The 15,264-nt window shown below is 40.7% G+C and overlaps 1 protein-coding gene across 9 annotated transcripts in view; it reads right to left on the reverse strand.

The window, feature by feature from the left end:
• Positions 1-15,264, reverse strand: part of CPNE4 (copine 4) — a 506,038-nt gene that overhangs the window by 182,402 nt on the left and 308,372 nt on the right. For all 9 annotated transcript variants that reach the window (NM_153429.2, NM_001388326.1, NM_001289112.2 and 6 more), the window contains one exon: positions 7,476-7,655. In NM_153429.2, the coding sequence (NP_702907.1) occupies positions 7,476-7,655 (180 nt within the window). The remainder of the gene's footprint in view (positions 1-7,475; positions 7,656-15,264) is intronic.

Genomic DNA, 15,264 nt, shown 5'->3' on the forward strand with positions numbered 1-15,264 from the left:
CCTCGTGATGCATCCCCCTCATCCATCTGTCAAGAATGGTCAATTCTCCTTGAGTTTCCCTGAGGACCTCAGCCTTCTTTGCTTTATTTGGCATTTTTGCTCAGTGTGAAGTCACTTGCTGTGCTTATACTCAGCTTTATGACCAATGCCAGTTTCTAGCATGCTTAAGGCTTCTATTTTCCTTTCCTAAAGGCCAGGAGTCCTGCTGTTTCACAAGGCTGAGTGAGAATGTGGCAAACTCAGCCAGACAGAGCGAGTACTACAGCAGCCTTCAGGAGGCAGACTCTGAATGTGTGAGTTCCTGTGTGGCTTTGGGGAAGTCACTTTATCTTTCCTTTAGGGCCTTAACTGTGGCAATCCCTATCTTGCCACAGTTAAGGCCCAAATTAAAATAATTGCCCCAAATTATTTCAGAGACCTGATTTAAAACAATTTTTACTTAAAAATAGTATCAGAAGAATAAATACACGTGTACGTGTGTGTACACACACAATATTTAAAATCCAACTCAGTAAAATACTTGACAAACCTGAGCAATGTAAGTTCAGTTTTACTATTATACTCGCCCAGGACGTAGGTGCTCTCTCACAATGTTTTCACGCTGTATGTTTCCCCCTTTGTTCTGAAAACATGTTGGTCTCTACAAGCATTGCCTCTTCCCATCATTTCCTAGATTCTTGCCACAGTAATAACAGCTTCCCCATCCCGAGTGCTCCCTCCATGCCGGGGGCTCTGTTAAGCATTTTATGTGCATTATTCTACTTGATCCTTGCAATTTTTCTTGAAGTCAGCACTATTATTATTTCCATTTTTCAAATGAAGAAACTGAGGCTTAAGTGGCTGCAAGAATTTGCCTCTGGACAAACAAGTTGAGAGCAGCTGAGCTGGGATTTGACCCCAGACCATCAGACCCCACACCATGTACACGTCAGCACTAGGAAACAGTGCCTCAGACTCTGACCCTGCCCTGCCCGGGGGTGCCCAACATCTGCATCTAGCCATTCCTTGCCTATCTAGGCAGAACACAGGAAGAAGGACCTTCTTTTTACTCTGGAGTTTTAAAGAAGGAAAATGTTGATGTTTTTTCTTTTTGCTTGATCATACTGGAGAGGAGCAATTTAGCGAAAAGAGCAAAACCCCCATTCACGCCAAAGTGTCAAAACCTGTGAAACCACAAAGGGTAAAAAGTTCTGCCTGTCCTTCACAAAGCTTTTAGTACAAATGCATTTGTCTGGCATATTACTCCATGTAAAAAACACTCAACAAAGGTTTTTTTTTTTTTTCTTAAAGACAACATCGAGTTCACACTTTTATCTGAAAGTGGAAAGAGATGTCCTTACATATGCCTTGATTTTTTAATTCTTTATTATTTGTTTATATATGGCACGTTCAAAAAATTTCCTTTCAAAAGTAAAGATAAAACAGCCTCCTCGAAGAATCTCATCCACTCTAATATTAGCAGCTATCACCTATAGGGATTAAGCTCCCACATCTATATTGTCTATTCTATATTCATGTCAGCTGCCGATTGTCACCCTCCTCTGAATTCTCCACAGATATCTGCATTTAATAGGCCAGCATCATGTTATATTCCTCACCCCCATCCTGGGCAAGATTGATTTCCCCTTAAAGACAGCCAAATCGCTCCCCCAGTTAGCTAAGCCAGACACCTGCAAACTCCGCCTCCCTCACCTCATCTCCAAGGCTTGTTGATTCTGCTCTTGGACAGGCTCTTTTCTGGCCCCCTCTTTTCAGTTTACATAACTACTGCCGCCCGCATTTCCTTCCTGTTATTGCACTAGTATCCTAATTGGTTTCCCTGCCATCCACCGTTTATGGGGAATGCCAAAGTGATCTTTCTTCCTTCCTTCCTTCCTTCCTCGCTCCCTCCTTTCTTTCTTTCTTTTCTTTCTTTCTTTCTTTCTTTCTTTCTTTCTTTCTTTCTTTCTTTCTTTCTTTCTTTCTTTCTTTCTTTTCTTTCTTTCTCTCTTTCTTTCTCTCTCTCTGTCTCTCTCTCTCTCTCTGTCTCTCTCTCTTTCTTTCTTTCTTTTGAGACAGAGTATTGCACTGTTGCCTGGGCTGGGCATGATCTCGGCTAACTGCAACCTCTGCCTCCCGGGTTCAAGCAATTCTCCTGCCTCAGCCTTTCAAGTAGCTGGAATTACAGGCGCCTGCCACCATGCCTGGCTAATATTTTGTATTTTTAGTAGAGATGGGTTTCACTATGTTGTCCAGGCTGGTCTCAAACTCCTGACCTCATGATCTGCCAGCCTCAGCGTGCTTGGATTACAGGCGTGAGCCACTGCACCCGGCCAAAGTGATCTTTCTAATATACACATCCAATCTTGTCCTTTCCCCAGTTAGGACCTCAGTGCATCAAGTCCAGTCTCTCTAAAGTTTAGAGAAAAACACTTAAAAGCATCAGGACCAGGCTTTTTCTTTTCTATCTGGCATCCTCTATCCTTTTCACATCCTCACTTGACCGCTCACCCACGCTAAGTCACTTAAGAGTTCTCTGTCGTTCCCTTCATGCTGCTGTGTCTTTGCGTGTACCAGTCATTTTGTCCCAAGAGTCCTTATTTCTTTTCTCTGTTGGTGAATTCCTACTTATCCTTAGGGATTCAGATCCAGAGACACCTTTCCTGTGAGACTCCCCTGCTTCACTTTAGGTAGAGGTCTTTCCCCTACAGCCCTTGGATTCACATTTCTATTGTAGTGCTTAGTAATATGCATTTTGAGTATTTATTTACCAGTCTGTGTTTCTCAGATAATTATAAGCTTTTCTGAGGCAGGGCCTCTGTCTTCCTTTTTCATCTTTGTGTCTCCAGCACCCAGCCAGGTATACTTGGCATATCCAGGGTGCTTGCTAAACGTTTGTTATGAAAGCTTGGCATGCAATTGCTATGTCATTAAAAGAAGAAATAAACGAATGAATGAAATCTATAGTGTTAAAGGAGTCATCATGTCTTTCCTTGAGCCAATCACTGTGGCCACACAAATGTAATATTCTGTGCCTACCCAAAAGTGTGGGAAAGGCCAACCCCACCAATCACCTGGCTGACAATATGAGAGGGTGGTTGCCAAAGAACATGCGAGATATCCAGAGAGGCCAGCATGTCACCTCAAAGTGGATCAGTACAGTTTGGGAAACATGGTTTAGAGATACACTGAACAAGTCACTTGCTGCTCATTTGCTTCATCTAGGCCATGATCTTGAAGGAGTTCTCAGAACAGGTGACCTCCTCTCATCCTTCCCTAGGTCATGACAGAAGCAAGCTCTGGATTAAGAATCAAAAGCTCCTGACTTCCAGTTTAGGCCCTGTCAAGACATTAAATCTTTCTGATCTTCAGTTTCCTCAGTTATAAAATGTAGATAATGATTCCTGTCCTTCCCAGGCTGTCAAGAGGGTCAAATGAAATGATCAGTATATAAGTTCTTTCAAAAGTACCAAAAACGTATCTTGAAAGGACTATTTGTAATCTCATTCTCAGTGCTCACTTCCACACATTCCTTCTTTTGAAAGATTAAGAAAATTAATCCAACACAACCCCCTAGTTTCCCTTTGTTCACCCCACTCCAGCCAGCCTGTCCTTCTTTTTAGTTCCTCATATGTGCTATCTCCATCATGATATTTTCAGTTCAAGGAATAAAAATTCCCATGTCAAACAGCTTCAATGACAGGACATTTTATTTTCCCATAATAAGGCATCCATAGATAGAGTGGGTCCCAGGTAAAGAATGTCAGGCCCATCCCTCCACATCTTTTGGGTCTGACCTCCCCTAAGGGTCACTCTCATCCTCAGCCTTGCTGCAAGATGGCTGTAGTGGTTCCAGGAATCACAGGCAAAGAAGAACTGTTTCTTCATGCGTGTCTCTTGTTTTAGGCTAGGAAACCTTTCCAAGAAAAATCCACATGTCTTACTGGACACACGCCTACCTCTAAACCAAACTCTTGCAAGTGGGTGATGAGATTCATGTGATTAGCTGAGATCACTCAGGATTCACTCTTGAGCTAGGGATAGGGCTCTTTTCTACATAGACAGATGGTATAAAATGATCAGAAAGTGATCAGAGTCAACAGCTACAAGAGTGGGTGATTGGGTATTAAATAGGCAATCCACAGATGCTGTCAGCTCCCCACTCATGTTCCCAGGCCCTATGACTTGAGTGCCCATCACTGACTTTGACCACCGGCATCTGTATTTCTTTGCTTGCAAGCTCTTTGTGATATTTGGAGTTTGCTACCTGCACAGTAGGCCAGAAATGTTGGAGGACTGGAGGATTAATGTTCCCACCTTAGGAACAGGAATGGGTTTTTTTTTTTTTTTTTTTTGAGACGGAGTCTCACTGTCACCCAGGCTGGAGTGCAGTGGCATGATCTCGGCTCAATGCAACCTCTGCCTCCTGGGTTCAAGTGATTCTCCTGCCTCAGCCTCCCGAGTAGCTGGGACTACAGGCATGCACCACCACGCCCAGCTAATTTTTTGCATTTTTAGTAGAGATGGGGTTTCACCGTGTTAGCCAGGATGGTCTCGATCTCCTGACCTTGTGATCCGCCTGCCTCGGCTTCCCAAAGTGCTGGGATTACAGGCGTGAGCCACCGCGCCCGGCTAGGAATGGTTCTTCATGGCTGATGTGAGTATATATACACAAAGTGTATAAATGTCCCAGTTCCCTCATCCACAGGATGAAATATCTGTAATGTTTGCATTACACTGCTCTCAGAATTTCCCCAGCAGAGTTAAGCTCCAGTTACGTACGGTGGTATCTACTTGACCACTTTCCCTTGTAGGCTGCTTATCCTGTCTCACTTTTCCTCTCCACTATGGCGTTTCCTTCACCTCCTTTGACTTCTTACCTCAGATTTGGCTTCTTGGAAAAACCAAATGAAGATGCTCTGCACCATATGCCAAACTCCTTCCTGAATACAGAGGCTTTGTGTATAATGTTCCCATCTGCTTAGAATGTGTTTCTCTTTCTTCTCACCTGATGCACTCTCACTCTCCCTTCAAGTCAGTATAAATGTCACTTCTCTTAGAAAGCCTTATTTGATCCCTCTCTCTGCCTGATGCCAGTCTCCCAATGCTTGCTCTCTTATTCTGTACTTCTCTGTAACAAAGCTTATGATAATCGCCATTTAATTAATTGTTGTGTAATTATTTTCATTCCATCTTTATCCCCAACTAAACTGCTGCTTGAAGGCAAGGATTATGTTTTTTGGCTCACCACAGTGTCACTGGCACCTAGCATAATGCCTGTCTTACTTGCAAGGTTAAGGACTTACTGGCTTTTGGAAAGATGAGCCTTGTGAGGGACTAAAGATTTGAGTTTGAGGGTCATTCAAACAGATAAAATTATCAAAGCTTTGGACCAAAAAAAAAAAAAAAAAAAGATCTTTAGTCCACATGATTCCCACACGGATCTACCTTTTTTTTTTTTTTTGAGACGGAGTCTTGCTCTGTCACCCAGGCTGGAGCGCACTGGCACGATCTCGGCTCACTGCAAGCTCCGCCTTCCGGGTTCACGCCATCCTCCTGCCTCAGCCTCACGAGTAGCTGGGACTATAGGCACCTGCCACCACACCCGGCTATTTTTTTGTATTTTTAGTAGAGACGGGGTTTCACCGTGTTATCCAGGATGGTCTCGATCTCCTGGCCTCGTGATCTGCCCTCCTTGGCTTCCCAAAGTGCTAGGATTACTGGTGTGAGCCACCGCGCCTGGCCGGATCTACCTTTATTTCTTGTGACAAAATATAAAATTTATGCATAGGAGGGATGCCCATTGTTTAAGGGAGAATCTTGGCATGGCTTACATGTCTATAAAAGATGCCATTTTAATCATTTTTAAATAGAAACAGGATTTCATCTCAAATCCACAATGCATTTATTCATTTAATACCTACTTAGTGGACATTGTACCTGGCAAGATCCTTTGAACTATCTGCCATCAACTCTTCAAAAGTCATTAGAGAACATATGTTAATGGAGAATATTTCAGATTCTCTTTCTGTCTCCCCTCAACTGTATTTCAGTATTGGGCTTTTGACTTTCATTAAAGGAATAAGAAAATTAATCACTATATTTTCTGGAAAAGGGGAACAGAGGACACTGTCTATTTTGTCTCTTAGTGCTCACTGGGAGAAATTTCTTTTAGTGATAAGTGGCATGAAGCAAGGTAAGCACAAATGAACAAGCAAATATATATGCTTGCCATCTCTTTGTCAGGTAGACTCTTCCTGACAAATCCTTAAACCTGACCCTTACCTTGACAGGAGGTGAACCCAGATTTTGTGGGTCTTAAGACATATAATTTGGAATCTCTCTTTGAGAAAAAAAGTACAAAATAAAAATGTGACACAGAGCCATGGAAGGGGCCCACATGAGAGAGGGGATCTGATGTTAAAGCTTCATCAATTTCACAGTAAATCAGCATCTTGATTCAGTCAGGGAAAGTGGTCTCTTCCCACCCCATACCCCCCCACGTTTGTTCTGACCCCTATGAGTTGCTTATATTGCTTTCTTACTTGGAAGTCTCCCCTCCTCTTTCTTCTGCAATCCCTAGATAATGTTTTTTTCAGATTTTGGTGCCACAATGCCTTCTTTGACTCTACCCAGTAGAAAAAAGCTCTCTCTTCCTTTAAGGTCTACGACCTTGTATAGAGAGCCCAGGGTATTTTGTAATGAACTGCTCTATTTGAAGTGCATATTACTATGCCTTCTCCAGTAAGATTATCCACTATCTGGGCACAGGGACTGTTTTTACTTTTTGACTCACTTACTGCATTTCTGGGTACAACAAAAAGGAAAGGAAAAAAGGAAAAGTATTACAGAAGCAAAATGATGAAGTTTAGAGTCAGGAAGACCTAGTAGAGTCCTAACACTGCTACTTATTAGGTAGAGCCTTCATCAAATCACTTAACCTCTCTGAGTCTCAGGTTTCTCACTGATAAAATGGATATAATACTGATATTTATTTCATATTATTGTTGGAAAATTAAGAGCTTTTATTCATTCACTGAGTATCCATTTAGCCTCTGCCTTGGGCTATTTTTGGTACCAGAGATGTCGACTAAATGTGAATGAGAAATACTTGCTGCATAGGGGTTCTCACAGCTGAGTTGGAGATGGAAATTTATAGTGAAACAGGATAAGGCTATAACAGACATGTGAAAAGAGCATAGTGCCAGACACATAAGTGCTCAATAATAGTTGTTGAATAAATGAGTGACACAGTGGGGGAATTCAGAAGAGAAAGTTCTGAATTTTTCAAAATAAGAAATCGTACAGACTTGCAGAATCATCTCTACATAAACATAATGGATATGACACCACCTGGGAAGTTGTAAAATGCTGCATGTTAAAGAAAATACAATCAATAGGAAAAAGCAAGGATTAGATGAAGGAAGAGAGGGAAAGGGGGCAGGAAGAAAGGCCCTAGGATGGCAAGGAGGAGGAAGGGATGTCTGTTGACCCACCTGGCCAAGTGTGCACTCCATGCCACCAAGGAAGTCGGCCTCCTTCAGCCCATTGTGGTTGCTGCTGATGTCATGGACTTCAAACCGCAGGCGCTGCACCTCCTCAAAGTAAAAGTCCACAGTAAACAGTTTTGAGTACACTGGGTTTATGCAGGTGCGAATCACCTCAGTCCTGTCAACCTGCAAGGAGAAAGAGAAAACCTATCAGAGATAAGGATTATTTTTATTATTACCGTTCAAGAAAATTCATCTCAGAGCACTTCCCTTCTTCCCAACCATAAATGCTCCCCAGCAAGTCATTGGGTGGGCAGTCCAAAAGTACAAAGTACAGGCAATACCTTCAGAGAATGAGACGAGTTTTAGGGAAGAAAATAATGTTAGACATGTAAATAACTTGAAGATTTAGAGCTCATTGTATGAGTTTGCATTATACAAAATTGTATCATTATATCATTATGTCATTTTGTTGATGGGAAAACTGAGGTCCAGGGAATTGAAATGAGTGGGTGAACATTATGAACAGTAAAAATTTTTGAGTACACTGGGTTTATGCAGGTGCATAAATGATTGATTGATGCATTTCATGATTGATTCAACCTTGTCCTGCCTAATGTGCCTGAGGTCACATCTAGGCTCAGGAGGAAAGAAATCTGTAATTGATTAGTGATGTCTGGTGGGCACAGTAATGGAGAAAGTGCTATGTAGGTGTCTCATTTTAGCCAACTCTAAGTTTCCTAATCCATGATTTCCAGCATAATGAAGTAGAAAAACCATGAGAATAGATAAGACAATAACTGCCTTTGGTCTCGAGTATGCCCTTTATTAAGTGTATAATGTTCACCCATTCATTTCAATTCCCTGGGCCTCAGTTTTCTCATCAACAAAATGAAAATTAGATTAGAGGTTGAAAAGTTCCTTTCTGCTCTAACATTCCATGAGCTATGATTTCCTTTGTCTTCTGTGATAATAGTTTTTCAGTTGTCCCCCTCTCTCAGATATTAATACATCTCTGCCACTTTCTGCACTATTCTGTGACATAGGAGACTGATGTCTATGGATTGATTTTCCTGGCACCCTTGCCCTCTGGGTTCTGGTTGGAGTCAGCCAAATGGAGGACTTCGCAGGAGATCAGAGAATGGGAGAACAGAGAGGTGCAGGCATGCCTCTATACACACACATTCTGCTAGCAGACTTCCTTCTGCACAGGGAGCTTTTGCTGGGATTTGGTAACATAGTGCCTCTCTCTTGTCCCTTCACATTGAGGGGTAGTAATGGCTTCCTGTTGTTGCTATCTCTGATGTCTCGGATGCCTCACTTTCTTTCTTGGCTCTTTTAACCCTGCCCATTCCCGTGTACAGAGTTTAGTCCTTTAGGTTAAACTGTTTGGGTATGCCATCTGTTTTCTACTAGGATCCTTATCGCTAAGGCTCTTTTCCTACATACTTGTCACAAGTAAAAATATACAAAACCATTTATATTTTGGGAAGCTTTTAAAGACTAAGTTATAGATAACCCAAGATTCTATAGCATCCCTGTACTAGAGATACCCATCCTTCCTATTTTACAAATCAACTGGAACCTCTATGTACTGTCAGCTTTCAAATAGAAATATGGTTTATTGGATGTTTTCTGACATTTGTTAGCACAAACTATGAAAAGCATTTATCTCACTTTCATATGAGTAAAGGAAAATAGTCTCTCAATAAAGGGAAAGCAGTTCTTAACCATATTATGCATGTCCATGTTGCCTAGCAAAGAAAATCTGATATTTGTTCTAGCCACCCCTAACATTCTTCAGTTCAGTGCTTTGTCTCCAGCCCTAGCCCTTCCTATGCAGGGATGTATGTGAGAGAAAATTGTCCTTTAAGGAACACTACCTGCCATTATTGGTTGGATGGACAATCCGGGTTGCAAGGAGAAGAGTATGATTCTGATTATGTCCCCATCCAATAAATAGGCATACAGAAAACCAATCTCCAGCCCATTGCTGACTAGAATTTTACAAGTTACTGTTCTGACCAAAGGTTATCTGCCTGTTCCAGCTTCCCCAGGAAGACCCAGCTTCTATTTGAGCTAAATTTTATATTCTTATATGATGTTCATTCAGAGGGTGATGGGACTGATTATGCCACTGGCCATTTGTGCAGGTACAAGAATTTACTATATCAGCATAATTTTTCTGTTGTTCAGGGATAATAGTTTTGAATAATAGAAATTAGAGATCATAAACTGGTAGTCTGCAGGGATAAGCTGACTTGAAGGTACTTTATTTGTCCTACTCAAAGTATTTTTCCCTTCATTTTCCCACTTAATAAGGTAGCTGTTTTTATTACCCTTCCTTTAGAAAAACTTGGAATATCTGGCAACCTTGGGCCACATTTCTTCATGGCAACAATTGGAGACTGTCCCATTTAGACAAAGCATTTACTCTTCACTTCTCACAGCAACTTCCAGGCCTTTCTCCTTCATTTAATTTCTCTTCCTGGCCCCTAGAGGCATTTTTGCAACATCTGGTCCAAATTCATGAAATAATGAGCCATATAAGAGATTTAATTATATTTATATTGTATCTTTTGATAGAGGATTTGGAAATAACCCCAAGAAGTATGCTGTGGGTGCATTTGACATCCTCAAGACACAAAAAGGGCACCTGCTCTCCTTGTTGCTGGAAGAGAGTGCTGAATAGGTTTAGATGATAGAAGACAGGTGATGGAAACTCTAGTCTTTGTTATTCTCCTTTAACTGCCCCAAAGGGCACAAATAAGTGATGTGCACCAATTCTGGTACTTTTCTTCTAACTTCTTGATTTTCCAGTGGCATTCCCTTATAAAGTTCATGTTGGCATCAAGCCACACACCTCATACACACTATACAAGGTAAGCTGCCAGCACTGAGTGACTTGGTTTTTTGAGCGAAATGACAAGATGGAAAGACATTAAGTGATAAACATTTGTATTAGCAAGACAGACGATTTCCAAGGATAATCAGAAAGCCACTAAGAATCCTGAATATAACTGCTCAGGAAAAGCAGGAAAATGACAATAAGCGAAGTGCTTGCAATAATAAATGCATATTTGAAAGATGTTTTAAAATATTATGCATTTCCAGTTATTATGGAAGATGCATTATTTTTTTCTGGTGCCTAATCCAGGTTTCACATGAGCAACAGGGCCTAGGATTGTTCATTTCTCATTGAGAGGCATCAGGGTCAAGGCAGTTTTTCCCAAAAGATCATTCACTTACTGGTGCTACCAGCTGCATCCTAATCAACTGGGGGGGGCGGGGGGGCTTTCTTTAAAACTCAGATTCCTGTTTCCTAACCCCAGGTCATTCTGATTTAGTGAGTATATGGTAGGACCCAGAAATCTCTAAAAAAGTGTTCTAGAGAATTCTGGTGTGGGAACATCAGTCCTAGGGGAAATGAGGAGATGTAGAGTCTATCTCATGCTCTTGTGTGAGGTCAAGTTTTATTTTAATCTTGCTTACCCTCTGTTATCCAGTCTGCAAAAATGTGAATGCTTATCTTCTCTCTTCCCTAATCGTGATGACTGATAAATTCACATTGCTTTATTGTTTACAGAACATGCTCACATCCATTTTTAAAATTTGATTCTTATGGCTATCATGTGATATAGTTGTATACTATTTTACAAATGAGAAAACTCAAGGTTAAATATCAGCACAAGGTATTGAATGTCAGAGTGGGCACTTGAACTCATGCCTTCTGACCTCAAAGTCTGGACTACTTTCCTCAATTCATGAGCATCCTTAGAAAGGAAAAAGGCAGCTAGATTATGGTGTGATGGTGAGAGACTCAACCATTGAATATTGCTTCTCATGAGAAGCTTTTAAAAATATCTAAAACACGGCCAGGCGCAGTGGCTCAAGCCTGTAATCCCAGCACTTTTGGAGGCCGAGGAGGGTGGATCACAAAGTCAGGAAATCAAGACCATCCTGCCTAACATGGTGAAACCCCGCCACTGCACTCCAGCCTGGGCGACAGAGCAAGACTCCGTCTCAAAAAAAAGAAAAAAAAATCTAAAACATTTTTCAGTCTAATAATAAAGTCAATAACAACTAACACTTTTGGAAGGCCTGCTATCATGGTGCTCATTTAAAAAAAACAGCATTATTGAGGCATAATTTGCATATAATAAACCACATCTATTTAAAGTATATATCTATTTAAAGTATACAATTCAATATGTTTTGACACATATATACTTGTGAAAACATCACCACAATCAAGAGAGTGAGCATATCCATGCACCCAAATTTTTCTCTTACTCCTATGTATCCTCATCCTCTCAACCTTCCCTCCTTCCATTCCCAAGAAACTACTGATCTGCTTTCTGAGACTACAGTCTAGTTTGTATTCTTTATAATATTATATAAATGTATATCATAATCTGTGGTCTTTTATTGTCTTTAATCTTTCACGCAATTATTTTGAGATTTATTCATGTGGTCCTATCAGTAGTTTATCCTTTTATTGCCCCCAGTCAATTACAGATGGACATTTGAATTGTTTACAGTTTTTGGCTATTACATATAAAACTGCATGACATATTCATGTACAATCCTTTGTATGGGCATGTATTTCCTCTTCTTTTGGGTAAATATGTAGGAGTGAAAGAGATTTTTGCTTAACTTTTTAAGTTCTAGTAGGTGTGGAGTGGTCTCTCATTGTGGTTTTAATTTTCGTTTTCCTAAAACTAATGATGCTGAGGCTCTTTTCGTATGCTTACTTGCCACCTGTGTATCTTCTTTGATGAAGCAGCTTTTCAAATCTTTTGACAAGCACTCTGTTTTCATTCTTATAACAATATGAGGTAGGTACTGTTATTATCCTCTCTTACTGGGAGATAGAGAGACCGCCATAACTTTTCCGATTTTACACAACTTGTAGGTAGCAGAGGTGGGATGTGAACCTATGTAGTTAAGCTCCAGAACCTGTGTGTTTAACCTCTATGCTATATAGTTATGCAAATTTGAAGCATTTTTTCATAAACACTGTTGCTCAAAGTAATGCATCATCCAGACGACAAACATAAAATGTGGAACTGATAGGGAAAGTCAATGATTGAGGCTGCAGTTGTGTCTCTGGAGATCTGATTTATCCACTGGACATATTTGAGATACAGTGGGGGCCCTAAACACTGCCCATAGAAATTGGATTGTGTGGCCGGGCGCAGTGGCTCACGCCTATAATCCCAGCACTTTGGGAGGCCGAGGCGGGCGGATCACGAGGTCAGGAGATGGAGACCATCCTGGCTAACATGGTGAAACCCCGTCTCTACTTACAAAAAAAAAAATTAGCCGGTCGTGGTGGCAGGCGCCTGTAGTCCCAGCTACTCGGGAGGCTGAGGCGGGAGAATGGCGTGAACCCGGGAGGCGGAGCTTGCAGTGAACAGAGATCAGGCCACTGCACTCCAGCCTGGGCAACAGAGCCTCAAAAAAAAAAAAAAAAAAAAAAAAATTGGCTTGTGTGCGGGGCAATGTGTCATCAACAAACAATTCAAGACTATTTGTACAATGGCCATCTATTCTCTGGGACTTCCAAGGGCTGGAACTGCCACAGGCAAAGTTGCGGGAGAGGTGAGAGCTAAATCGTGTGATGCTATCAGTGGGGAGGAGGTGAAGGCAAAAGCCAAAATTATTGTCAGTCACTGAATGCTCTAAGGTTTCCTGGAGAAATTCAGGCCCTTATCATCCCATGGGTAATAGGTCTTGGTAAAGAATGACATCATAGGCCAGAGAGAGACAAGAGGCCCTCAGGGCAGGCTTATAATTAGGTATTCCTTCAAACTGATATTCTTTAAATATTTTGTCAATATTTATTTAGTGAGGGTAGGGAGAAACTAATTTTCTCTGAATAAAGAATGGCTTTATGTTTAAAAATAAAGGATTTATTACAGGCAATTTTTCAAACCATGTAACTTCCAAGGAGACATATTAAACCACACAAAAGTTAGATAATAAAATGAATCACCAAGCCACCAGAAATAGCATTATTCAATTTCAGGATTTCAGCTGCTTGTGACTGCTGATTTTAAGTGACTGGCCTCAGAGTTAGTGGCTTGTTCTGTAGCTGCAACAAACAAGTTGCAGATCTCAAAATCACTCAACAGAGAGAGATAGGTTGGTGCTGATGAGACATGGTTTTAATTTTCAATTTAAATGGATTTTCTACTTTGTTAGGATTAAAACTCCTTAACAGTTTGCTGGTTGTGTAAAAAGTCTCATGTGGAAACTTGAATTGATTTGTGCCATTTCTGTGTGATATGTCTACATACTGAGGTTGCATCATTTCTGGCTGTCTGGCTGATCTGCCACATGGACCAGGGGTTCCTGCTCACTAGTTCCTAGGACTAAAAAAATGCCTGAGTATTTGACAGCCTTTGTTTCTCCTTAACAACTTGGGTGGAAGCTGCCTCCTGCCTAGTAAATTATTAAATTCCTTCTTGAAATGGATGGCAAATTAGGTGGTGACCGACAGTGATGGTAACTTTTCTGCTCAGGCAGAAGGCACTTACATGTTATCTTCTTCAAGCCTTACCCTCATCAACTTTAAAACATACTTTTATTTCACAGTTTGATATATTTGAAATTGGTATGTGTGTTTTAATTATATGCCATTGTTTAATTGGAATATATTTGAAATTGGAGTGCATGTTATAATTAATGATATACCATTGTTTAATTGGAATATCTCTGAAATTGGGATGCATGTTGTAATTGATGATATATTGTTTAATTGGAATATCTTTGAAATTGGGATGCATATTATAATTGATATGTCATAGTATAATTGGAAACAATTTTTTTCTTTCCTAGGGAAACATAAAAATAATGGTTCATTTTAACACTGATTTATAATTTTACAAATGATCCTATTAAATATATCATTCTAACTTTGCAAATGATAAAATAAAACTGTGTATCAGAAAAGTAGTGGCAAAGGTAAGACTCAACTCCAGTCTTTCTCACTCTAGAATATATGCTCTTTTTATTATACTATGTCATTTGTTATAGGTTGAGTTTTATCCCTCAAAATTCATATACCAGTATCTTAGAATGTGACTTCATATGGAAATAGGATTGTGGCAGAAGTAATTAACTTAGGATAAGGTCATACTGGAGTATGGTCGGTTTCTGATTTGATATGACTAATGTCCTTATAAAAATGGGAAATTTTGACACAGACATGAACACAGGGAGAATGCCATGTGAACACAAAGGAAGAGAGCAGAGTGGTGCAATCTCTTGTTCCTCAGCACAAGCCAAGAAATGCCAAAGATTTCCAGCAAAACTACCAAAAGCCAGGAGAGGAGCATTAAGCAATTTCTTCCTAGTAACCCCAGAGAGAACCAGTTCTGCTGACATTCTGATGTCTTGATCTTGGACTTCTAGCCTCCAGAACTGTGAAGGAATAAATTTCTGTTGTTTAAGCCACCCAGTTTATGGTACTTTGCTATGGCAACCCTGGTAAACAAATACACCATTCTACTTAAGAAACATCCAGACTGGCAGCACCACTTAATGGATATATCTCCAAAAAAGCACTCTTCACCCATCAAGCAGTAAAACCTTCAAATACTCCAGATTAAACTGAACGAGTGATCCAGCATGACAAGTGTCTTTCTCCCACTTTCAATCCATTGAACCCTGCCTTCATCCTCCTGCCATGCAGTTAACCTGGTTCTCAAGTAACAGGGCCTCTGGCACACTGGGTTCTGCTTATGGATCCCCTGGGATGAACATGCCGGAGAACCTAGAGCTAGACATT

The sequence above is a fragment of the Homo sapiens genome, chromosome 3 (assembly GCF_000001405.40).
Source record: "Homo sapiens chromosome 3, GRCh38.p14 Primary Assembly".
In the NCBI taxonomy this organism is placed as follows: Eukaryota; Metazoa; Chordata; class Mammalia; order Primates; family Hominidae; genus Homo; species Homo sapiens.